Here is a 26,066-nt window from a genome sequence, read left to right as displayed (position 1 = left end):
CCAGGACCTTGCCCTGCATACTGGTGCCTGGAGGGAAGTGTTGGGAGCTGAGGAGGAACGCTCAGGGGACCCTGCTGGTTCCCTGGGCACCAGAAGCCTCTTGGACCATGGCAATGCTGAACCAGTGTGGTTGTGCCCACCAGCTGCCTGTGGGCCACATGATACTAGTGGAATTGTTGTGTGATTTCCAGGAGGAGATCCTAGGCAAGTCATTCCCTCTCTGTGCCCTTGTGGAGTATTTATATAGGCTTAGCACTGAGCCAAATGTTCTCCTACAATTTATTTCAACTAATCCTACCAGTATCCTGCAAGGTGGGTTATATTACCCCACTTTATAGATGAGGAAACTAACTCTCAGGAAAGTTAAGTATTTTGCCCAAAGTCATTAGTCAGCAAATGGCAGAACTGGGGTCTAAATTCTGGTCTTTGACCAGAATGATACCAGATCGTTTCCATGCTCTTCAAGCTCTCGTCCAACTAAACATTCTGTGAAATACACCTTTTTGATACCAGAGGCTCAGTGATCTCATCTTGGGTTTTACAATACCCCCTCAACTTATTTAGCCTGTGGCAGCTATGGGAACAGAGATCTCACTCATTATTAATTCAGTGTTTTGTGTTTGCTGCTGGCTCTAGAGTCCTAGGGGTTATGGCTTGGGGCCAGTGCATAACCCATAGGATGCACCCATAAGGCATTCAAACTGATGGTTGTCATGGCAGTGGTGCCATAGAGAAATGCTGTAGCCTTGGCTAGGTCGCATCCCTTCTATCCACCTTGAAAGTAAGTCTATCATTTGTCTTCCTACATCAATAAAGTGGAATTATGAAGCATAAAGGCTTTAAGTTTGGTAAAACCTTAGCTAACACCCAGTATTTTACATCATCCTTAGATATCATCCACTACTATAAAGGCAAGGAACTCTTTAATCAAAGGAAGTTGTGCACAGAAGCTAAGTATGTAAAACAGATGAAAGCAATCAGATGCTTGGGTTAAAGAGGGAGATTGGGAGAGTGTAGTTTTCCTCCCTCAAATCCCACAGGTGGTCTTTAAAGGAATTCTGCAGATCACCATCTGGAAACAACTGATGTAATTCAATTCTAAAGTTGGTGAGAGAGAGCCTAGAGAGGGCACTGATGTGCCTGAGGGCTGGGGTTGAGGCTTAGTCTATGTCTACTGAATGCCACCTGGGCCCTTTTCCTAATCATGTGACGTGGAAGTGAGGGTGCCCCAGAGTTGGACTTGAAAAAATTATCATATCCCTTGCCATGAACAGCATGATAATTAGTTTTTGCATTAATCCATTCACTCACCAGATTTTACTGAGCATCTATTTGTCAGATGGAACTTTATCTATTCTTGGGATATTCTCTGAAATATCAGGAGATTTCCCTATTCTTGGAAATTCTTTGAAATATCAGGAGAACTCTAGGCCAGCTCTGAGGAGAATAACAAGCTTCTGTAAATATTTAGAATGTATATTTGGAAGGGAATAGAGAGATTTTGAGAAGGAGTCAGGCTGTGGAGAAAGACAGAAACCCACTGGAAATGAGCAAGAAGTAACTCTACATTGTGTGGGAGGTGGAGTTTTTGCTGTTGAAGTTGGAAACCTTTGTGTTGGGCCCCCAAATGCATTCCAAGGTGTGAGGAAGCTTTGGAGAAAAATCCCTGCTTAGGGCCGTCATTCATCAGTGATTTGTTCATTCATTCAACACCCTACTGAGGACCTACTATGTGCTGGGCACCGTGCGGGGCAGTAGGGATGTGTGTGAGTAGAGCAGACATAACCACTGTCTTTGTGAGTTAGCTCCTCCTCCCATCTCCCCTTTGTCTACAGGATAAAGGCAGGCTGTTCAGGCCTTGCATACAAAAGAAGGGTTTTAGGTTTTAAGTAGAACAGAAAACCTTTGAAATGTTTAATAAGAGGGGGGCCTGATTTGATGAACATTTTAAAAAGATCATTCTACACAAGAGTGGAAGCAGCGAATCCAGAAAGGGGGCTCCTGGCCTGATGGGCATTATTGTCCAATCTTCGTCTTTGACATCATCTCCAGCCTTCCCGAGGGCATATCTCAGCTCCCAGGGCCACAAATGTCTTGTCTTTTCCTGAACATGCTTTTCTCTCCTCTCAATTCACCTTTGAATGCACAACCTGTTCTTTCTGTTTGAAATGACTTTTTTCCTCTTCTCTGCCTCTATAGCTGCTATACATCCTTCAAAACCCATTTAAAATGCTGCCTTCTTTGGAAGCCTTCTCTGGTTCCTTTGAGGCAGATGTAGTCCTGGTTTCTTCTGTTGTACAGCTTTCTGCATGAATCTCTGTTTTGTGGTTCAGCTACTTACTAGTTGTTTTACTTGGGCAAGTTATTTGACCTCCCTAAGCCTCAGTTTCCTTATCTGTCAAATGGAGACTATAGTAGTATCTTCCTCATAAAGTTGTTTCAAGGGACATATGACCATGCATACAGAGTATTTTGTGCAGGCTGAACACAGAGGTATTATTACTCCATATTGTATTCCAAATGCAAGGCTCTCTTTCTGATTAGACTGTGAATGACTGTTGAGGATGGGGGCAAGTCTCATGCATCTTTGTATCTCCAGCATCTGTTCTAGAGTCAATTCATGTAAAAATGAGCAAGTGAATGAATGAACGAATGAATGAATGAAAGAATGTCTCCTCTGACTTCCTAAATTTCCACATCTCTGTTGGCTCTCCTGTGTTAATTCTCCTGGAAGCAAAGCTTGATTCCCCTAATCTTCAGGGACATTGAACACTGACTCATATCATGTATTATCTTTAGCTCTGATTCCCTCCTTCCTTCCAAAACTACCACTCTTCCCTCCCTCCCACCCTTTCTTCCTTCCTTCTTTCCACCCTTCCCTTCTTTCTATCCTCTTGTTCTTGGGTGTCCCATTTCCATGCTAACTGGTTAGCCCTGGAGAAGCCAGGTGATGATCTATATGACCACAACACAGGTAGTGTGCTTCCATAGGATCAGCCCATTTTGTAGTAAATGGTGCAGGGTGGACATGGCCCAGATAGTCCCAGAATTTAGATCTTTGTTCCCATGGAAAAATCTTAGGGCTCTCCCTCTGGGCCACAATTGAGGCCAGGAATAATCTAATGATTTTGGGACTTCACCTGCTGTTTAGGGAGGCCTCCAAAAGGTCACTATTAATATGACTGTGTTATCTGGAGGGGTGACATGGCTTAGTCCATCCTTTGAGAATTGCAGCTGTGAACCCAAGTTGGAACTCCCTGGATTCCCTCTGTTCATCTTCTTGGGTCAGTTTGGCTTTGCTTCTACTTGGTGGTTGAGAAGCATGGCTGCGCTGGCATCCCTGCTGCAATGGGAGAAAAATATGACTTTCCCATAAAGCATTTGGAAAACTTGAAACTGAACTCAACCATTGAGTGGAATGGAGATTGATATACTTAAAACAACCTAAATGTACCAAAATACATTCCAACAACTCAACTCTGGCTCAATCTTTCATTCTGATTAGTGACCTCTGTGTCACAGTCTTGCCCTTAGTTGGGACTCAGGCTTTGGTTAAACCAATCTCTATTTAGGTACTTCTCATAATAGAGCCTGAGGTCTGGAATCCAGCCTCTTGGATTTGAATCCCAGCTTCTTAACTAGGACTGCCCTTCCTAGGTAAGTGGCTTAACTTCTCTGTGCCTCATCTGTAAAATGGGAAAATAATGGTGCTCACCTGGTAGCCATGAGGACTAAATGAAATAATGTATATGAAGTATATCATGTATATAAAGAACTTTGCTTGGCACATGGTAAGAGCTTAATAAATATACCTATTATAATACAGTCATATTTCTTTTTCTCTTGGAAATCCTAAGATGAACTTCCTTTTCCAGTCTTGGCATTGTTATTTTGTATCTCCCTTTGATTAGGCCACCAGCTGTTCTCTGTCTGTAGTTGGATAACTCAGTCTTTGGCGAAAGTGGTTACTATATGCCAGGGACACACATTCTTACATTTCATCTCATGACATCCATGTGAGGTAGTCACAATTTACCCATTTTGCAAATGTAAAAAGTGAGTTAAGGAGATAAAATCTATTTCCTAAGGTAACAGTTTGCAAAAGACAGTGTTGGGGTTCAAACCTTGCCTTCTGAGGCAAGGGCTGGTGCATCGTAGAGTGTATAACATAGCAATGCCTCCCCTAAAGCAAACTTCCTCAGGAGGCATGGCTCAGAGTGAATACTGAAGGAGACAAGATCACCTCAACCATCTTCTCTCTAGCTTTTAAAGTAAGCAAACTTAAAAGCAACCAACAGTCTAAAGCCTGTATGCTATGTTAGTAGTATAATTTTAAAACATTTACTTAGGTTTGGCCAGGCACGGTGGCTCACTTCTGTAATCCCAGCAGTGATTACTTTGGGAGGCCGAAGTGCGTGGATCACAAGGTCAGGAGTTTGAGACCAGCCTGGCCAGTATGATGAAACCCTGTCTCTACCAAAAATACAAAAATTAGCCAGGCATGGTGGTGGGCACCTGTAGTCCCAGCTACTCAAGAGGCTGAGGCAGGAGAATCGCTTGAACCCGGGAGGCGGAGGTTGCAGTGAGCAGAAATCATGCCACTGTACTCTAGCCTGGGCAACAGAGCAAGACTCCATCTCAAAAAAAAAAAAAATTTACTCAGGTTTTTTTACACATAAAATCAAAACAAAATGATTGCCTAAGGAGAAACCGGATTTTTAAGAGTGATTGACGAGCAGCCAGAGTCCAGAGGGCATGGGACATAGGCTAGGTTAATTTTGCTGGAGACAGATTAACAGCAGGGAACTCAGGGGGAGAATGGGGGAGGATCAGCCCCAGTGGACATCCCAGGAGGAGTACCGTGGATCAGGAGAGAGGTTTGGGGCTGGAGAGGGGGAAGAGGAAGGGCACAAAAAGTGCAGGGCAAGGTAGAGAGGAGGAATCTGCAGACGGCTCTGACTTTTTAATCCTTGGATATTGCCTTGAGGGAAATAAAGGAGGATGGCTGCAGTGCTTGCTCATTTCAAGGGCACTGGCTCAGTGGAGTGCTGCATGGAATATACTAAGCACATGGCTGTGTGAGACACCAAACACTTCCTTTCAGAAAACCTCCAGTGCCCAGCCCCAGAGTTTACTGAGGAAGTAACTAGACAGAATGTTCTTTACAGCCAGTTTTCAGACACTCACAGGCCGGGGTCAGCTGTGGGGCTGGCTTTGTCTGGTGGGGATGGTGCTTTGGCCACAACTCAAGTGTAAGGTGGGCTGCTGTGGTCTGCCTTTGCAGTGTAAAGTCTCTGGAGAATGCGGGACAAAAAACAATTGGCAATTTGCAAACTGTTAATTAGCTAAGCAGACTCCTAAAGGCCAATGATTATAGGAAATAACTTACTTGGATACCCAAATGAACCACGGAGAATCAAGTGCTTGCCTCAGAACTGAGTGACTCTCCTTGTTCGCATCTTCCTCTGTTCCTCCCTCCCCCTCTCTCTCATTCTCACCTCTTTCCCTCTTTCTGCCCTGCTATTTCTGACAGTTTCTCTCTTCTCTCATTTATTGTAGCTCTCATCTTCCTATCTTATGTGTGCTCTCCTCCTTTCTCTCTGGAGAGAGAAATATTATGTACCTACAAAGCAGGTTCATTTCATTCCTCTAATAGACTTTGTGTTCATTTTTTAAAATTTAAAAATTAGATGGTGATCCTCCTTATGTCAGTACTAGGAATCTGCTCACTCTGAATGCTAGTATCCTGATAGTACTTTGTCCTGGGGACAAAAGTGGGGATGGGAAGTACAGGCCAGCAACAAGTACTTTCACCTGATCTGTAGAATAAGGGATGGTTTAAAAAAGGGAGAATCTGTTCATGTATTACTTGTGTAATTGAATATAAATAAAAAGGAAATGTCATTAAAAAATCAGATGAGCTGAATATTTTATGTTGTTCTTTCTCTGAAGAAGTTCAAGCCAGCTAAATGCAGTTGCTTTTACTCAAATTGGGCCTTGTTTCCTCCCAGAATCTATGATATGGAATAGAAAAAGTAATTTTAAAGTTTATCGGCTGGGCAGTGGCTCACACCTGTAATCCCAGCACTTTGGGAGGCCGAGGTGGGTGGATCACCTGAGGTCAGGAGTTCGAGGCTAGCCTGGTCAACATGGGGAAGCCATGTCTCAACTAAAAATACAAAAATTAGCCAGGCACGGTGGCACATGCCTGTAATCCCAGCTACTCAGGAGGCTGAGGCAGTAGAATCGCTTAAACCCGGGAGGCAGAGGTTTCAGTGAGCTGAGATCGTGCCACTGTACTTCAGCCTGGGCGACAGAGTGAGACTCGGTCTCAAACAAATAAGTTTATTATGCTTGCTATAATAGACTACAAAATACAAGATATTCTGGTCCTCACATCTAGTGTGCCTTTTGGGCTGGATTTTAGAAGAGACTCTCTCAGCTGCAAGAGTCTGGGTATTAGGTAGGCAGTTGGCAGAGTGGGATCTGGAGTCAGTCTTATTTGTTGATCATAGTTGGGATCTTCAGGCTGTGGCTAAATGGAAGGGTGGTTGGCCTGGGTTTGGGCAACTCTGGATGTCCCTTTGAGATCAGAAGTAATGAGAAGGCTTCTGACCACAGAATGTGTTCTGCTCATTGGAGGATGGAAAGTATTTGATGTCCTTTTGCTGATCATACAAACAGAAAAGTCTTAGGGCCAAATTGGGAACCCACGCAGAGCAGGAGACTGGGTTGTCCTTATGGGCAAGGAGAGGCCAAAGGTTACCATTCCCATTTACCTTGAAGGAGGTATGTTCTGGGAGCATTATAAACCTTGATGGTGTAAAAATGAGAATATGATAAACAGATTAAGTAGACAGAGAGAAGGATGGGAGAAGGAGGAGGAAGTAAAAGTGTTCTTGTCTTCTGATATTTCCAAGAAGGTGAGCAACAGACATTGCTTCAAGTCAACATGTAAGTAATTAAAGGCTGTGTGTCATTTAAAGTGTAACTATATCTGCAGAAGAACTAAAAATAGCCAACCAAATATGAAGGTAGAAAGAGGAAAGAGATAAAAGAGAGAGAGGTTTGTGGCTCAGGTTGCAGAGGAACACATTTACTGGGAGATGCCAGGTCCTTGTGTGGCCAGTGACCAGGGATGAAGGAGGGAAACTCCCGCTGGTGGGAGGTCAAGGCTGCTATTTCTCATCCTCCTTGGAACTGCAGAGAGAAGTTGACCTAAGCCTTTACATTCACTAGCATTCCAAATCAATGGGTGTATCCATACCTGAACTTTTAAGTGGATGTATTTTATTTGATATCATATTGTGGCAAATGAAGAAACATTTCCAAATACTGATGTATTATTTTCCTAAGACTGTCATAATACATTACCACAAACTAGAGGCTGAGATTGGAGTGATGCTGCCACAAGCCAAAGAACACTGGAGCTACCAAAAGCTGGAAGAGGCAAGGAGGAATCCTTCTCTAGAGACTTTAGACTCTAGGGGAGTTTGTCAAGAACTTGATTTCAAACTGCTAGCCTCCTGAACTATGTGAGAATAAATGTTTGTTGTTTTAAGCCACCCAGTTTGTAGTAATTTGTTCTGGCAGTCCTCAGAAATTAATACAACTATCATTCTCATTTCTTTATTTTATAAATGAGGAAAGAGAAAGCTAGGGAGAAAAAGAGACTTGTCCCACCTCACACAACTGATAAATGGCACAACCAGAATTGCAACCCAGCTCTTTTGACTCTTGGCTCAATATCTGTATACTGTTCTAAAATTATCCCTAAAAGATTGGCCAGGCGCTGTGGCTCATGCCTGTAATCCCAGCACTTTGGGAGGCCTCGGCAGGTGGATCGCCTGAGCTCTGGAGTTCAAGACCACCCTGGGCAACATGGTGAAACCCTGTCTCTACTAACACACACACACACACACACACACACACACACACACACACATACACTAGCTGGGCATAGTGGTGTATGCCTGTAGTCCCAGATACTTGGGATGCTGAGTGAGGAGAATCGCTTGAGTCCGGGAGGCAGAGGTTGCAATGAACTGATATCATGCCACTGCACTCCAGCTTGGGTGATAGAGTGAGATTTAGTCTCGAAGAAAAAAAAAAAAACCTTAAAAATAAAATAGGAATAAGATCAAGGGCCGAAGGAAGACTACAGATGGGTTCTTTGGAGATGTTCCACTGCTCTCCTTAGAATGACAGCATTACATTGGTCCTGGTGTATCTACTAGGAGGTGGTATTCTCTCTTTAGTACTCAAATTGTGAACAGAGTCTCCATATCAAATACACATTAAAAATGGCATTTTGGACCATATGGTAAGGGCTCTAGCATAAGAGCCTATGTGTGGTAAAGACTTAATGGCAGACTGCAGATCCCATCTGGAACTGGATTACTTGCTGAGGTACTTGGTGTACAGAACAGAGGGTGAAATTTTAGAGACAAATACCTCCACCTTGCTATTGCTGCATTTTTGGAAATTTTATTTAACTTCTCTAAATCTGTCTTCTTCCTTATATAAAAGGAATCATGATATTTAACTTCAGCATTATTTAAAATGTTTTCCTTAGAGCATTATTTTGAGGTTTATATTAACTCATGTATATAAAGGCACTTAGCACTGTACCTGGCACATTGTAGGTGTTGAATAAATGTTAATTCCCTTCTTTTTCTTCACCTAGAGTTTCCAGAAACAGTTCTCAACATATGTTCTCTACCTTTCACCTTAAATCCCCTCATTGCTATAACATTAGATGAATGATTGATATCCTTTATTGTAATAAAACAAAAACTGCAATCATGAGAAGTTAAAGCAGGGGAAGGAAGATGGATACTTATGATATGGAAAGGAAGAGCAGGGGAATATTTCTACTGCAACTTTAGCCTTATAAGAAAGTAGGAAGCTTGGCCAGATGCGGTGGCTCACGCCTGTAATCCCAGCACTTTGGGAGGCCAAGGCAGGTGGATGACCTGAGGTCAGGAGTTTGAGACCAGCCTGGCCAACATGGTGAAACCCTGTCTCATCAAAAAAAAAAAAAAAAAAAAAAAAAGAAACAAAGAAAATAGGACGCTGTTGCATTAATGTGCAATCTTAGCGGAAGCTGCTCTGAAGCTCTGAACAGGAATGGAACATGTTCTCTTGAAATCTGGTGGAGAACAGGGGCTCTGCTCAGTTGGTATATTGACTGGCAGGTTGAGTTTGGATCTTCAGAAAAGCACATCTAAGGGACCAAGGGCTGGAGCAGACAGAACTAGTCTTCCAGATTGTCAGATTTCAGGTGATTTTTAAGGAAGAAAAAGTTTTCCGAATGTGCTTCAGCTTTCAAAATCTCAGGGAAGCAGGGCCTTAGGGTCATAGAGTCACTAAATTTTAGCTAAAGCTAAAAAACATCCTTACATACAGGGCTAACATGCTGAACAGTAAAGTGGAGCTGTTCTGGTTGAAGCAGAGCTGAGGGACTCACAGTCTGGCTGCCCGTCTCAACCCACAAAACTGAATTCAAAGAAACCTTTGGATCACTCTAGAATTCCAAGGAACAGAGATCTAAAGTCATCATAAGGAAACCAAGACCTAGAATTTTTTAAAAAATGACTTGACCAACATTAAACCGAGACAGATTATGGATAGAAAGTGGATTTCTTGACTCTTACTCCAGGGCTTACCTCATCTTACACTTCAGTTTCTGGTCTTCCCACTTTCAGTTGGTATTTTAGCTAGTCCTTTGTCTACAAATGCATTTCATTATTATGTACGGTTTTGTCATGTGGTGCCCCTTGGAAGAGAAATTCTGTCTACACCATGCAGTGGTGGAAGAATATACACCGAATACACATTATACATACTTTGGATATACACTATTGGAGTTTGATCTTGTTTTATGAGCCCAATTGCTCATGAAATTTGGAATCTTTCCTGGAGCCTAATTTTAAGTGACAAAAATCATCTAGACAAACTGTGTTCTATTTGGAACAATATCTCATAAGGAGGAAAAATAAAACTCTTTGTTTCTTGAACTCCTTCAACGTTGGAAACCAAATCACTTTCTAATCCTAAACAATCGGGTTAACCTGGATTTATAACCCCATTCTCACTAAGGAATGGAGCTGAAGTCAGAGCTGAGGAGGTGGCTTTGGAATAAGGGTTCTTATAAGGGTTGAGCAAAGAAACTGACATTTATTAAATGTGTTCTAATTGTCAGACACTGTGATTAGCATTTTACAAAGGTTTTTACCTCCATATAATCTCCTAAACTTCTTTAAAAAAGTTAATCAACATAATGGCTTTTAAAAGTCACTGGCTTCCATCAACAATATACGTAGTTACCAGACAGCTTCAGAGAGAATTGTGATGTGTTGTGCTGGCCTCACCCATAGCTAATAATCCATCAAGACTCACATGCTCATAGGGCCGGAGCAGGAGACCCTAACTTCCTGGCTCCCGCACTCCCCAGGCGCACCACATTTCAGCACGACGGACAGCGCAGCACTGGGGCGCGACTGGGGAGGCGGGGACCAATACCACGCTGTTTCAGCCCGGCTTTTTCAAATCTCTCGGGTCTCCGCCCTCATTTCCGTGCATTTTCGAAACGACTGTCACAGCAACCGAAGCCACAAAAACACATTCACAGAAAACGGGGAAGCTCCAGGGTTCGCTTACCGTCTGACAAGTCAATCAGTCCGAGGTAGTGCAAAAGTTTCAGGGAGGAGCACACGACCACCACTATTCCCAGTGTCTGGAGCCCTTCGGACTCGCCCTCTGCCCACATCCTCACAGCACCCTGGCGCACCGGCAAGCGCTAGGCGGTCATTCAAAGCCAGAAAACCAGGCTTCCAAGCCTCCCTTCCTGCTGTTCTAAAGTGCACGGTTTATTTTCCACCAGTCTGCCTTCCTCTTTCTGCCTCCCTCCCTTCCTTCCACTCCTACCCCTCCCTCCACCTCTCTCCTCCTCCTACCTGGTAATCTCTATGTTTCATAGTAATATTTGCTTTTATTTCCTCTTTTCCCAAGGCAATTTCTCCAAAGGTTTAACCAGTCCCTAATCTTCTGCTAGCTGAGTGTAACCATCACTGGCAACATCTCATGGCATATTCTCTCGGCAGCTCAGAGAAAACGTGTGTCAGTGTAGACCATTTGAAAGACATACAGAAAGAGCCCCATTGCTTTAGATCGCAGATAGATGGAGAGATGAAAGATGCTTTTTCAAAGGGACAACAATTTGTCTTCACTTCCCAGTGAAAAACCCAACAAGCTGGTCTGGAACATATGTGGTCCCTGCTTTGACACAGTGAAATGTCCCTGGAAACTGTACCACCAGGAAAGCTATGGTAAGCTGGAGTGCGTCTCAGTTATATTTGTCTTTGGGAAGGTTTTATATTAGTATCAGAAATTATTAGATGGGTAATCAGGCTGGCTAAGTATCACTGGGCAGCACTGAGTGAGCAAATGTTCTGGAAATGAAAGAGAGAATGAGGAGGCAAAAGAGTGATGCTGTCGGCATGTCCTAAACTTTTGGGCTCTGTGGGGGTAATTTCCCTTCTTCGTACACTGGATTGTCAGCAGTGAGCCTGGTGGGGAAAGGTGCTTGACATGGGGAAAAGGGAAGATTGCACTCTTAGAGTCACAGAGACCTGTCCTTGGGCAAGTTCCTAGATCTCCATGAGGCCCAGTTTCCTCTTCTTAAATAAACTTAACGCAAATAAGAGAACCTGTGTAAAGTGTGGGAACAGAGCAGGCACTTCACACATATTGGTGTCAGATTTTGAGAATACACTATATTGACAACACTGTGGAGCAAAGACACTCTCTTGAATCACTTGTAGGAAGGTAAATTCATAAATAAATTGTATATATCCATTTATTCAGAAATTCCACTTGTAAGGATACCTACATATGCGCACAAATATATATGTACAAGGATATTCATTGCATCATTCGTTTATAACAGTAAAAGACTGAAAGAACTTACATGCTCATCGGTGAGAAAACTGGTTCCATAAATTATAGTGCATACATAAAAGGAGTACCATGTGAGCCATTAAAAATAATGTGGCACATCCATGTATCTTTTCCTGGAAAGATACTAAAAATATACTATTAAATGAAAAAAAAAACACCCTAAGTTGTTTAGTACCACTATTACCAATGTTAATATTATTTTAATATTGGAAAGGAACACACACACACACACACACACACACACACACACACTGTCATATACATAAAATATTTCCAAAAGGATACACTAATAATTGAGCATTTTAGTTGCCTCTGGAGAGAACTGAGGAACTGGGTTCAGAGGGTGACTGTTGCTGAAATTTTCTCCTATGTATGTGCGTAATGGATTTAAAACAACAATAACTGAATGTGAATGCTGGTCTCTCCTCCCCTTCCTTCTTTGTGAAAAGGGAGACATAGTCTACATATTGGATTGAGACTCGGGAAAATCTTGTCTTCCCTGCTCTGTGTCTCTCCACTCTGTTCTTTGTGTCAATCTCCATTCTCATTGGCGTGTAGGCAGTGATGTCCTGGGGTCAGCCCACTGCATCTCATGAAAACTAATTGTTAAATTTTCAGGAAATCAGCAAGGCAGTTGCTAAACCTTTGTCAGCTTGAAATCAGCCATGGTAGGGTGTTGACACCACAGAAATGCTACACATCAGTGTTTCTTCACCCTCCCCACTGTCTCTGAATTACCAGGATGCCACGCTACCATTCCAGATCCCATCTGCCCAGAAGAAAACCTGAGAAATTCACCTGCCCAGAGGTTTTTCTGACTTACTGTGTTTCCTCTCCTCTGGGGCCCTAGCAAGTGTAATAATTAACCCACTGGGCTTAATGGGATTTTAGGCATTCACATATCCAGATATGCGGAACTAAATTAGAAGCAGGAAGACTTCCATGTTTCTGGTAAGTCAATACTTTGTTCTCTTGGCTTATCTTAGCTGTATCTCTTCTAGGTTTCTACTTACTCCTTCCCCTCTCCCTGCTGCTTCCTTCCCAACAACTCTCTGCCTTATAAAACTCATGCTGTTGCTGATCTTCCCTCCCGTGTATTCTCCCTTTTTGCAAGCTCATGCATAAGCTAGGCATAAGCTCTCCTCTCAGCCATTTTCCTGGGCTCCCGTCCCAAAGTTTCATCTATTGCCCTTTTGTACTGCACACAAAACATTCCCAGTGAGGTCCCATCAACAGGTAATACTGAGCATCTGTTAGATATAAGGTCAGGTGCCAGGAATTAGACTTAATCCCTCACTGCTTTCTGGTATTTCTAGGAAAGAATGATGCAAGAAGGCAGAGTAGTGGTTCCCACTGTCTGCTTTGCTGTTACTGTGTAAAGACTTACATTCTTCCAAGAATTCTGACTTCACAGACAGCTCCCCTTCTGGATTGTCTCCTAACCTTGAACTTTAGGAGCAACTGTGTCTCAGGTGAGTCACCTCAGTGGCAACCAGAAAGACTTACCTACTATTTCCTAGAAATGGTGAGGTGCCACTTCTTATCCCCAATAACGTCAGAAGGAAATCCAGGTCTCATAGTAGTGGGTGTCTGCGTGACAACCCAAAATCTACCTGCCTCCAAAGTCTGTGCTGTCCTCATATGTCCCAAGCTGAGTCTGTGATTTGGCATTTGTGAAAGATACAGGAATTGTTTATCAGAAAACCTGCCTTCTTCTCACATCCCAGTTCCATCAGAGCTACAAGGTTTCTTCACAAATCTCTCTACATGTAACCAGCTTTGAAATCTTTATTGAAGTTCCATCCTTCATTTGATGAGAAATGTTTGCCCTAATTGGGGCACTCATGGAATCTATTTCACAAATTGCTCTTTACTATTTCCATATAGAGTGTAAGGTGAATATGTTTGTATTGGAGATGTGAGCCTGCATAGATTCTGATATTTCTCTTACTAAATTTGTCCCAAATTACTATTTTATTTTTTTGGCCAAGAATCTTCACATTGTTGGTCCTCTTCAATTCCTTATCAATACTGACAGGCATTTTTTTTTCCCCTTAGGTCCATTTGCCTTAAAGAAACAAAGGTTTGATTATTTGTGAAAAGGTTTCTCTAGGTGAGGATGATGTGTGTCAGGGGGATGTGGGGTTGTGGGGGGATTAGCTGGCCTCATGGAGCAGATACCTGACTTTTGTTATGATCCAGACATCATAAAAGACTGGATTCCAGTTTAGGTCCTTGCATCTTGACAAATGAATACTGGCCATGGTCTGCAGAGTCCCCCAGGCGTCTTGGAAACCAAGATGGTCACAATCACAAATGCCAAGTTTTTGCCAAACAATTTTAGCTCTGGGTTTCAATTTTATCTCTGCCACTTACTAGATGTGTGACCACGATAAGTCACTCAAGCTCCAAAAGGAGCCAGTTTCCTTACCTGGGAATAATACTGATACCCATAGCATAGGGTTGTTACAATAACAAAATGAGATGATGCCATAAACTGCTCAGCACAGTCCCTGATACCCAGTAAGTGGGAGTGTGGCACAGAGGTCCAGAGCACAATCTCTGGGTCAGAAGCCTACATTGACTCTTAACTCTGCCTCCTACTTAGCTCTGTGACTATGATGAGTTACTTAACTTCTCTGTGCCTAAGTTTTCTCACCTGTAAAACAGAGACATTCACAGTATGTACTTCATAGAGTTGTGAGATTAAGATGAATTAGTAATTATGCATAGAAAGAATAATATTAGTATAATTATTACTGTTATTATTAACCATAAGCTAGAGGCAATAATGCTCAGCTGGGCCCCATGGACAAGTCATATATTGAGTACGTATAGTCTGGAGATCTGGATCTGGGGAGAGGAAGGAGTGTTACTTCAGGTAGGGGAATCAGACTTCCTCTGGAAATTGCTGGGTGCATGAACTCCAATTCTCCAGCCACAGATCTTTCTTCCAGGCAAATGTTTTCAGCTGAGTATGATTTGTTTTTGCTTAAACTTCACTTGAGTATTGGCCTCTAGCAGTCACAAAATCAAATGCAATTTTAGCTAGCTACTTCTGCTGCTCTCAGCTTGCTTGTTGCTGTGTAACCTGAAGTAAATGGAGAGGCCCCGTGGTGCAATGACCCACAAGATCGGAGCAGTTCACTTAGTTATCTGAAAACACATGTGCAGTGTGACATCCATGTGCCCTTGACTCAACAGGGCTTGCTGCTGCCATGGGGGCTTTCTGAGTGGTTCTCCTGGTAAGGTACTGTCTAAACCTCATTTGGAAAAACTAATTTGATAGGGGCCTCATTTTCCAGAATGTTCTGCTGCAGTCGGTATTAAAATAATGCCAATAATTGCACTTGAAGTTTTCTTTTCTTTAAAAGGTGCGAAAGAAATGAAAGAACTCCTCAGAGCACCATCTCAGAGCTCCTGATTCTATCAGAAAGCAATTATTTAACTGCAAGATGGTTATGGTTCAGAGAGAAAATCATTACCATTCCCATCACTGACGAAAATGGGAAAATGATTCGTGTGTTCTTTATCTTAGCCTTTATCTTGGTGCCCTTTTGTGGGCACAGGATGGGTTTGTTTAAATTAGTTATATAATGATAACAATTGCACAATAATAATGATATCTCCCTTCCTCCCTCCCTCCCACCTGTAATCCTTTCCTTTCCTTTCCTTTCCTTTCCTTTCCTTTCCTTTCCTTTCCTTCCTTCTTTCCCTCCCTACCTCCCCCTTCTCTCCCTCCCCCGCCTCCCTCGCTCCCTCCCTCCCTTCTTCCTCCCTTCCTTCTTTCATCTTCCTCCCTTCCTTCTTTCATCTTCCTCCCTCCTTTCTGCTCTCTCTCTTTTCTTAGATATTCACAGTCCGCCCAAGCTCTTGCACCTGTTGGACACTGCAGATAGATTAAAAAGTCTTACCTATTAGGAAGTTCATAAGGTCTAAAATGTCCTTTAGGATTTTTAATTTGCAAAGTTCTGTTCAACCTTTTACATCTATTTGCGTGTTGCAGTTTCTCAATAAATATTTGTTGAAACAATACTATGCCACTCTCCATAATCAACTTTTGAGTTAGGATACAGCATTATTTCTGTTTTATAGATAAGAAAATGGGGGCAAAGAGAGGGAAACTAAATGTCATTAGGATTTTCCATGGAGCAGGCACTGTGCTGGGCTCTGCACAGTTTTCTCCTTTATCTTAATTATTACAACTACTAATGATGTTTTTAGTGGTGTCAACTTACAGAGCAATTTATTTTATTTTAGAGATGGGGGCTTGCTCTGTTGCCAGGCTGGAGTGCAGTGGCACAATCTCGGCTCACTGCAACCTCCGCCTCCTGGGTTCAAGTGATTCCCCTGCCTCAGCCTCCTGAGTAGCTGGGACTACAGGTGCGTGCCACCATGCCCGGCTAATATTTTTGTATTTTTTAGGAGAGACAGGGTTTCACCGTGTTGGCCAGGGTGGTCTTGATCTCCTGACCTCGTGATCCGCCTGCCTTGGCCTCCCAAAGTGCCAGGATTACAGGCATGAACTACTGCACCTGGCCATTTATTTTTATTTATTTATTTATATATATATATTTTTTGAGACAGGGTCTCACTCTGTTGCCCAGGCTGGAGTTCAGTGGTGTAATCATGGTTCACTGCAGCCTCAGCCCCCTGGGCTCGAGTGATCCCCCCACCTTAGCCTCCCAAGTAGCTGGAATTACAGGTGCAGGCAGCAAGCCCAGCTAATTAAAAAACATTCTAGACATAGAGATCTCACTATATTGCCCAGGCTGGTCTAGAACGCCTGGGCTCAAGCGATCCTCCTGCCTCAGCTCTCAAAGTGTTGGGATTACAGGTGGGAGCCACTGTACCCAGCCCAGAGCAATTTTAGACAGATGCTGAAAGGTTAAAAAAAAAAAAACAAAACAAAACCCTCTGTGCATCTAGCTACAAGGCCTTCTTTCAGAACCTGTCATTGGGAAGAGGTGTTGTGCTTTAAGCAGCACCTTGTGGAATCCAGCAGGGCTGGCTCTCCATCCCAGGGTCTCTGTCCCTCAGGAGTTAATTCTCAAAGTCAGCTCCATGGAGACTGGAGAGGAAGGAGGCAAGACAACTGGAGAGAAGCTTCCTGGTTTTCCCCTGGCATTTTACAAAACCCTCGGAACAATCATTCCAAGCATCCTGGGAGATCAATTTTGGGAGGATCTTGAACCCTGCTTCCAGGATTCCATGTCCTTTGGGATAAATTTCAGAACCTACTCTCCCAAAATGTCAGCCTGCAGGGCCCATTCTTCATTCTCCATCACATCAGCATCCCCCTCCCCTACTAGGGTTCCAAGCTGACAGGTGCAGATGTAGGTCTGTCTGCTTAAAACAGGCTGGAGAACGGGAGTCGATGCCTCCCGGCAGGGAGGAATAATGAGCACATTCATTAATGACTGCACCATGTTCCTGTGGATTGTCAGCGCCAATCATTTGTTGCTTTGAACAAAATGTAACTGTTGTCAATGGAAAGCCATTTGCAAATAAAGCCAGTGAGTAATGATATTTAGATATCCATTGACATGTTTCAATTTTTACCTTCTTTGTCTAGAAGGGATCAGAATTTCAACAGAAATTCCAATTCAATACACACATTTATAATCAAACCTGTGGATGTAACTTAACTATTAAATATTTCCCTCCTTCCCTCCCTCCCTCCCTCCCTCCCTCCCTTCCTTCCTTCCTTCCTTCCTTCCTTCCTTCCTTCCTTCCTTCCTTCCTTCCTCATTGCTTTCCTCTTGGGAATAAATTGCCAGGTATGCTGCTAAATCCCCTACAATGCCCAGAACAGCCCCCATCACAATGAAATATCTGTCCCAGGATGTCAGTAGTGCAGAGATGGAGACAACCTGCTTTAGCATTTATCCCAGGAATAAAACTGCTGTGTCACAGGATCTATGCACCTTTTACTAAGTCTTGCCAAATTGTTTCCCAAAGTTGTTTTACTAATTTACCCCCAACCTAGTAGTATGTGTAAGAGCGCTCACTCCCCACCTCCGCCCACCACCATTTTACAGATTAAAAACTTGAGGCTTTGGAGGGTGTGGAGTAACTTGGACAAGGGTATAGAGTGACAGGGACATTAATAAAGCGTTGAGAGTGACATAGATGTTATATCTCCCTGCGAGGACACAGCCCAGGAAGATACATTCAGTCCTTCCATATAAGAGATATTTATAAAGTCCTAATTACATACCAGGAACTATACCTTACACATGTCTTCTCAAATCTTCCCCCAACTGTACAAGATAGTATCAGAGCCCACTTAACAGCATAGGCTTTGAAACCAGCTAGAACAGATACTAGGTCCCAGAGTGGTTATTCACTAGCCCTGTGCCTCAGGAAAGTTACTTGAGCTCGCTAAGCTTCAAGTTTCCTCATCTGTGAAACAGGAACCATGGTAGACCTACGTCACTGTATCGTTGTGTTGGAGATAACACAATAGGCGATCCATAAATATTAGCTGTCATGGTCGTCATCATCACCACTCTCACTTAACAGATCGGGAATAGAGCCTCAGTGTTTAAGCTGCAAAAGGTCACAGCTAGTAAGTGGTAGAACTAGAATTTGAACTCAGGTCTGTCTGACTCCAAAGTTTGTCTCACTTTAACTGTGTCAAGTCTGTTACCCAAGAGGGGAGGACTCCTAGCCCCATCTCACCAGTTTAGACTAATCGGGGTTGGGCGGGGACAGCACATATGAATTACTAAAACTCAGAATTCATCGAACACTTTTAAATAACACATTTTCATGGTATCATGAATATTTAGTAACTCAACTAAGTAAAACAAATGTTGTCAAGATATCAGTTGCCTGGGGACCTGCTATAATAGATAGTCCAGGATGATCTGTAATTAGAATATGGACTGCATGAAAATGGTGATTCTATAGATTCTGAAAACAACCTCTTCTCTTACAAATTATAAATATCTCCTTTACCATATTATTGCTATCCATCTGTTTCACCCTTGAAGACAAACCAACTAAAACCTATTGCCTAGGCAAAGATCACAGATTTTGAATTAGTGGTGTCAGAATGAACAATGCTTGCCTTCCTACACCCTGTTTGCAATCAAATCCTCCAATTTCTCCTCTATTTTCTGCCCCCCTCCCTCCTGGGAAGACATTTGTCTTCAGAGGCTGGCAATGAGGCATTTGCCATTAGACACACTATGACATATTTTAAATATGCTCTAAGAAGCCGAGGCTAAATTACACTGGTGAGTTATTAAAAACAGCTCTCAATGCTATTATTATTTATTGCATTTGCAACTCTCAGCAGCAGCTGATTACACTGCTTAATCTTATATTTTTTTAAAATTCTCCACCCTGAAATTAATTCTCCCCACAATGAATAAGCAAGGTCAGCCACACTGAACATCCTTTGGAAGCGTTTGGATTCTGGGAAGGAGTCTGATGGACAGCCCTGGGGCAGAGCCTCAGTTTCTCCAGGGGAGGAAGTCCTTCACTTGAAATATGGACATCTCTTTTCTGAACCCCTTCGAGAGGGAGTTCTCCATATCACAGGTCTCACCATGCCAGTCCCTTCCATGCTGTCTCTGCAGCTGCCATATGTTGCTGTCATTGAAAGGCCTCTGTGATCTGGCCCCTGTCTCCCTCCCCAGCCTCATCTCTCATAGCCCCATGTCCTCATCCAGGTCTCAGTCCACGAAGTGACTTGCATTTTGTTTCCAGTGCCAGGCTCTGCCCTCTGAGCCTTTGCATATGCTGGTCCTTTCACCTGAAATTCTGCCTCCACCCTTATTTTCTTGGCCAATACCTTTTCCTTCCAGAAGCAGCTTAGGGAATATCTCCTTAGTGAAGCCTCCAGTGAGGAATAGAAGGATTTCTTCTCCACATCCATAAAACTGCACCCCTCCATCTATTGTAGCACTCGACACACTGTATTGTCACTGTGTATTTGTGTCTCTTTTTTGTTACATTGTGAACTGCTTGAGAGCAACTGTAGTTTACCATCTAAGCTTTACTGTCTAAGCTCCCAGCATAAGCCCAGCACAAAGAAAGTGCTTTGAGAATTAAGAGCTAAAAAATAGAAGTAATGTAGTAGTACAGAAAGAGCCAAAGCTCTTGAATGAGGCATTTATTCATTCACTCATTCATTTATTCAACAAATATTTATTAAGCATCTATTATGAGCCAGGCTCTGTGCTAAGCACTAGGGATACAATGATTAAAAATCAATGATTCTAATACTAGTGGCATACTGGGGGAGACAGACATAACTCAAATAATAGCATAAGTATATCATATAAGCCGTGATTGGTGCCATAAAGGAAGAATACTCAGGGCCATGACAGCATAAAGATAAGGCCCAACCCAGGCTGGAGTTTGCATAATGAGTTTCATCAGGGCTGCCCTCCTTGAGGAAGTGATGCTTCAACTAAGAGCTGAAGGAGGAAAAGGCATTAACTAGGTGGTAGGTGGGGCAAGAACATTTAAAGCAAAAGAGACAGCAAGTGTAAAGGTTCTGAGGGCTGTGGGGGCCTAAGTGCTGAAAAGGTGTCTAGGAATGAACCAAAGGTTAGTGCTAGGGCCCAGGGAACAGGCAAAGGTGGAGGTGGTGTGTGACAGATCAGGTTGGGAGGCACCCAGGGGCCATGCCATGCAGAATATTGTAGACCGTGTTAAGGATTTGTCTAGCCTGGCCACAATGGGTTTTAAGAAAAGGAACAACATTTTGCGCGTGTATGTGTGTGTGTTTTAAACCATCTGCAATGCAGAGAACAGAATGGGGGACAAGGTACACAGAGATTGTGGGGTATGAACTTCCAGACTGCCTCAGAAGACACAGTGACAAGGTGGTGTTAATGCCTAAAGGACCACAGAGAGGTGGGGAGACTTCCAGAAGTCCTCAGGGAGACACCTGGACCATGTGTCAGGTTCACAGGCCTGCTCCAGATGTCCTCTTCTTTTTTTTTTATTTTTTTTTTTGTTTTTTGAGACAGAGTCTCACTCTGTCGCCCAGGCTGGAGTGCAGTGGTGTGATCTCAGCTCACTGCAACCTCCACCTCCCAGGCTCAAGCAATTCTCCTGCCTCAGTCTCCTGAGTAGCTGGGACTGCAGGTGTGCTGCATCACCACACCTGGCTAAATTTTTGTATTTTAGTAGAGATGGGGTTTCACCATGTTGCCCAGGGTGGTCTTGAACTCCTGAGCTCAGGCGGTCCACCCGCTTCAGCCTCCCAAAGTGCTGGGATTACAGGCGTGAGCCACTGCGCCTGGCCCAGGATGTTCTCTTCCAAAGCAGGAGCTCCTGCTGGGGGAAGCTCAGCCTTACTCGGGTTAACCAAATTGGTGCAGGGTCAAGGGGCTCTGCTTTAGAGCAGAGCTCCCAGGGAAACTGAGCTCAGGCCAACTCTATAATTTATAGTTTATGCCTCTAGGGTAGTGAGGTCAGAGAACTGAACCCTTCCCTGTAAGTTCTTGCCCTGACTTCTAAGTCCTTGGAAGGGTTAGGTCAGCCCATCCTAGGCTTAATTTGCTACCTTAGGAAGAATCAGACCATGGGAGGTCATCTACCTTCATCTTTCAACTTCATCCAACAATCCATTCATCCATCTCTCTCTCCGTCCATCTGTCCATCCATCCATCTATTCATCCACCCATCCATGCATTCATCCAACAAATATTCACTAAGAAAATATTAGAGGACGGTCTGGAACCTGGCCTTTCGATCCTCAATATAGTATGTGTTCTGCGCTGGTCCACATCTGCCCAATTTGACTTACTGTTTGTCAGCTATAGGTAAGGGATGAAGTCTGGCCCAGACTCCGTCAAAAAATTTTGTTCTTTCAGTTCTCTGGTTGCTGAATTGGATCCCCAGGCAAACCCTGCATTCTTCTCTCCTGGTTTAATTGGTCCATTATTTTAAACTTTTGTAGATAAGGGAATAAAAAAGTCAGTGGAATATTGTATTCATCACATTCAAATTAATATGCTTCATTACCACAAAGACAAGGAGTATGGTTGTAATATTTTCTCAAAACTTTTAATTGAACAGAGCATGGGAGGGGGAAAAGCGAAAATGGAAACCACCAAGCTCAGATGTTGTTTTTCACTTTCTCAAAATGTGTGCTCTTTGTAATCCACTCATCTCATTAGTGTTAATTATGACCTAAAATAAAATGGCATTTAACACTGTGCTGAGACTTTAATTAAAGCCAAACCTTCATACCCAGGAACTCTCCGAAGTCCGAGATAGTTACTCTAAAATGGTATAACCTTCTGCTGATCCAGCGGTATCCACACACTCACTCCATCCCCTGCTGCTGGAAGCCTGCTACTTCCATCAACCATCCATCCATCTGTCCTTTCAACAAATTAATTTAAGGTAGTTCTGGGGAAAGAAAATGAATATTTATTAAATACCACTCTATTACTTTAAATACATTCTATGTAGCCTAATGTAGCACCAAGGACCTAGGAATATTCAAGTAAGGACAGTGAGTAGTAGTGTATACATTATCTCATTTAATCTTCAAAATAGTCTCATGAAGTAAGGACAAATTATTATATTTATTTTTCAAGAGGTAAAACTGAGGTCCAGAGAGATTTGAAAACTTGCCCTAAATCATATTGACAGCATGTCTTCCTGCTTTACACTGCTGAGCTAGAAAGAGTAATCTGAATTATCTAAATGTATTCATTCATTCATTCATTCATCGTTCATTCAATAGAGATCACCCACTATGTATCAGATCTATGCTAGGTGCTAGAGAGACCCAGTCCCTTTATTCACACCATCAGTGGGGCAGGCCTACAGTTGGTAGAGATAACAAGACTGTGATGAGAAAGAGAAGCAGGAGGGCTGTGGGGCTAGGCTGCAGGGACACCCAGCCCAGCCTGGGAATCCAGGAAGGGTTCCCCAAGAAGGTAAGACTAGTGGAACAATTTTATCCATAATTCCTACAGAAGGACCCACTCAGAGGGTGGCCTAGTGATTCTTTCAGAGATTGTGGCAACCCCAAAACCAGCTTCCCAGAAGCAAGTGTGGTGCAGGGCCCATCCAGCCAGACTGCAGGTAGCCTGCACCTGGGAACCACCTCCAGGAAGCATGCTAATAACTGACCCCAGTCATCTGGGCTGCCTGGCATCAGAATCTGTGGATAATACTGAAACATTAGTGTCTCGAAGAGATTAGGCACTAGTAAGGAGTGGCACACCCTCCTCCACCATCATGGTTTCCCAACTCTTGTCTGGTTTCTGGGTTCTGGAACCTGAGCCAAGCATGCCGTCTGTACTGGGCTCCTCCCCTGTATGCCAATCTCTTTATTTGAAGGAAAAGTAAACGCAAGAGAGCAATTACTGATCTGGTCAAGAATTCAGAGATTTCTAGGGCTGACATGGTGCTGGAACAACCAACATGCTCATCAACAGGGGAGGAGGCTGTGGCCCAGACCAGGCAAGCCACCTGTCCTGTGTCATACAGCAGAACCAGCCCAGGACTCCTGACTCTAGTCTGGTGGTAATTCCTTTGTCCTAGCAGGGACCAGTGGAGAACATTTTAGGAGAGGTCAGGATGCTGAAGAAAATGATTCTTGCCCATAGATTAGCTTCCTGTTTACCAAACTTTGCCTCCCCTCCTTATCTGCCCTCCCTGGCCAGGAGCCTGGCTGCACAGCTACTCTTTCTGCCTGTGGCTTGCCCATCAGCTCCATGCTTAACCTCTTAGAGTTCTTTCAAGCTTCATCTTCAGGGAAAAGGGATGCAGTTTCAAGGAAAAGTGCATGTTGCATTTCTGCAGCCCCACATCTATTACCTGTGATTTCCTTTAGGGATAAAACCTGTGAAAGTGGCCAGTGTGATCCTTGGATAATCCCTCAGTCACTGTGATTGGTTTGGGGATGGACGTATGAGCCCATTGGAGCCAATGAGATTCTGTAAAATGTTGAAGTTCAGTTACATGAGCCAATAAATTCCCTTTTGTTTAAGTGATTCTGGGTTGGCTTTCCTTGTACTTGCAACCGGAAGAGTCCCGAATGATGAAGTAATAAAAACAGTAACTCGAGTAATATTAATTGGCTGCTTACTCTGTGCTAGGTACTGTGTAAAGTTCTTCCATTTGTGAACTTATTTGGCATCCCCAGCAACCTTATGGGATAGTCAATATTGTTATCCTTACATTGTGCCTAGTGAGGTTTAAATAACTCAGGCTGCTGCCCAGCAGGTAAGTGATGGAGCTGGGCATTGAACCTGAGCAGCCTGGCTCTAGAGCCCATGTTCTCAACCACAATGCAATACTGCCCCTCAGTACACACTCTTCAGCTAGAGCCCCAGGAAACTTCTCTTCCATTTGCTGGTCTGGTGGAGACACAGTTCCCAACTCAGTCAAACTCTCAAGAAGGACCGGATGAATTTCATTAGGTCTCCATGGAGAAGGCAGTTTGCTTGTGCAAATTCATCCCTCCCAGGGGCCTGCCTGCCACACTATGCCTGAACTTCTATCATTAGATATGTGTTTCTTCAGATTGCTAATAGTAATTATGGTTATAATAATGACAGTTTTTACTTTTTTTTTTTTTTGAGACGGAGTTTCACTCTTGTTGCTCAGGCTGGAGTGCAATGGCACGATCTTGGCTCACTGCAACTTCTGCCTCCCAGGTTCAAGCAATTCTCCTGCCTCAGCCTCCCGGGTAGCTGGGATTACAGGTGCCTGCCACCCCGCCCAGCTTATTTTATATTTTTAATAGAGAAGGGGTTTCTCCAACATTGGTCAGGCCGGTTTCAAACTCCTGACCTCGTGATCCGCCCACCTCGGCCTCTCAAAGTGTTGGGATTATAGGCGTGAGCCACCACGCCCAGCCGACAGTTTTTACTTTTTAAAATACCTGTTTCTTACCAGGCCTTTCTCTGAGCACTTTGTATATATTATCGCATTTACTTCGTAAAGAAGAGGAAAATGAGGCCAACTATCACGTTGGAAGTCACAGAACAGTGATGTATTCACTTCCTCAGAGTCTGCTGGAGGACACACCCTGGCTCCTGGCCTCTTGGCCTGCGGTCTGCTGGAGGGAGAAGTGGGCAGGGGCCCAGCGAGCAGACCACCTGAGGATGGCCAAATGGAAGCTGCTCCAACCACAGATGCTGGGACAGGGAGGTAAACCAGGGCCCATGATATCCCTTGGTCTGGCAGAGATCAAGAATGAAAGCACAGACTTCTTAAGAGCCAGCAACTAGCAAAAAGACCAGATGAAAATACCCCAAAATGTTAACGCTGGATTTCTTTGCTGCTTGGATTATTTGGGATACTTATTTTCATTCTTATTCTTTTATATCTTTGCTATATTTTATGCAATGAGCTGACTTACCCTTATAATTATAAACAAAACCAGACAAAACAAAATGACAGCCCATTATGAAAATTATAATAGGAGCCAGTAATAAAAGGAATCAGGCGTTCTTGGAGGTTCCTTGGAGTGGCTCCAGGGCCAGGGCAGGAGATGCTCAAAGCAAGCCTAAGCATCTTTTGGTGCCAACAGTAAAGAAGTGCTCAAACACACACACACGCAAACACACACAAAACCCAAACCCCTCAATGACGGGGACATAGGAGCCAACTGCAAGAGCCCCAGTACCCAAAGGTGGAGTAATTTGAGCAAGAAAAGAAGTAAAATACTATTGGATTATAACCCAAAGTGTCAACATAAATATCCATGAGCTCATATTAATATAAACAAATCTCTTATGCAGAATAATTCCCAATAATTCATGAAGATGGCCCACGCTCAAGGAGGATCTCTAACTTCCCACTCCTTCAGTGTGAGTTGCACACAGTGACTTCCTTCCAAAGAGCCCAGTGTGTAAGAGGGGAGGGAGGAAAATGACTTCACAGCAGAGAAACCTGACAAACACAATCTTAGCCAGGTGATCGAGGTCACCATCAGCAGTGATAGGTCGTGTTGATAACATGCACTCTTCAAATGATGTGATGTGAATGGTACTTTACCTCTGTGCTCTTCCTCCCCAAACCCCAGTGCAATCATCAGAAAAACTTCAGATAAGACCCAGTTGAGGGACATTCTACAGTCATCTGCCCAATATCTCCTTAATATTGTCAAGGTT

At 43.5% G+C, this 26,066-nt stretch overlaps 1 protein-coding gene and 1 long non-coding RNA gene across 7 annotated transcripts in view; one reads left to right on the top strand and one right to left on the bottom strand.

The window, feature by feature from the left end:
* KCNIP1 (potassium voltage-gated channel interacting protein 1) overlaps positions 1 to 26,066 on the bottom strand; it is a 383,146-nt gene that overhangs the window by 44,793 nt on the left and 312,287 nt on the right. The window contains exon 2 of one of the 6 annotated variants that reach the window (NM_001278340.2): positions 22,180 to 22,341. The exons of the other annotated variants lie outside the window; for them this stretch is intronic. The gene's annotated coding sequence lies outside the window, so the exon portion shown is untranslated. The remainder of the gene's footprint in view (positions 1 to 22,179; positions 22,342 to 26,066) is intronic. 6 annotated transcript variants of the gene reach the window in all.
* Positions 10,370 to 26,066, top strand: part of KCNIP1-AS1 (KCNIP1 antisense RNA 1) — a 42,313-nt gene continuing 26,616 nt past the window's right edge. The window contains exons 1-4 of the long non-coding RNA NR_136214.1: positions 10,370 to 10,687; positions 11,014 to 11,330; positions 12,580 to 12,912; positions 13,278 to 13,433. This is a non-coding gene — a long non-coding RNA (KCNIP1 antisense RNA 1). The remainder of the gene's footprint in view (positions 10,688 to 11,013; positions 11,331 to 12,579; positions 12,913 to 13,277; positions 13,434 to 26,066) is intronic.

The sequence above is a fragment of the Homo sapiens genome, chromosome 5 (genome assembly GCF_000001405.40).
Source record: "Homo sapiens chromosome 5, GRCh38.p14 Primary Assembly".
NCBI classification, from domain to species: Eukaryota; Metazoa; Chordata; class Mammalia; order Primates; family Hominidae; genus Homo; species Homo sapiens.
The sequence above is the reverse complement of the archived record's forward strand: the minus strand, read 5'-3'. Positions and strand labels throughout refer to the sequence as shown.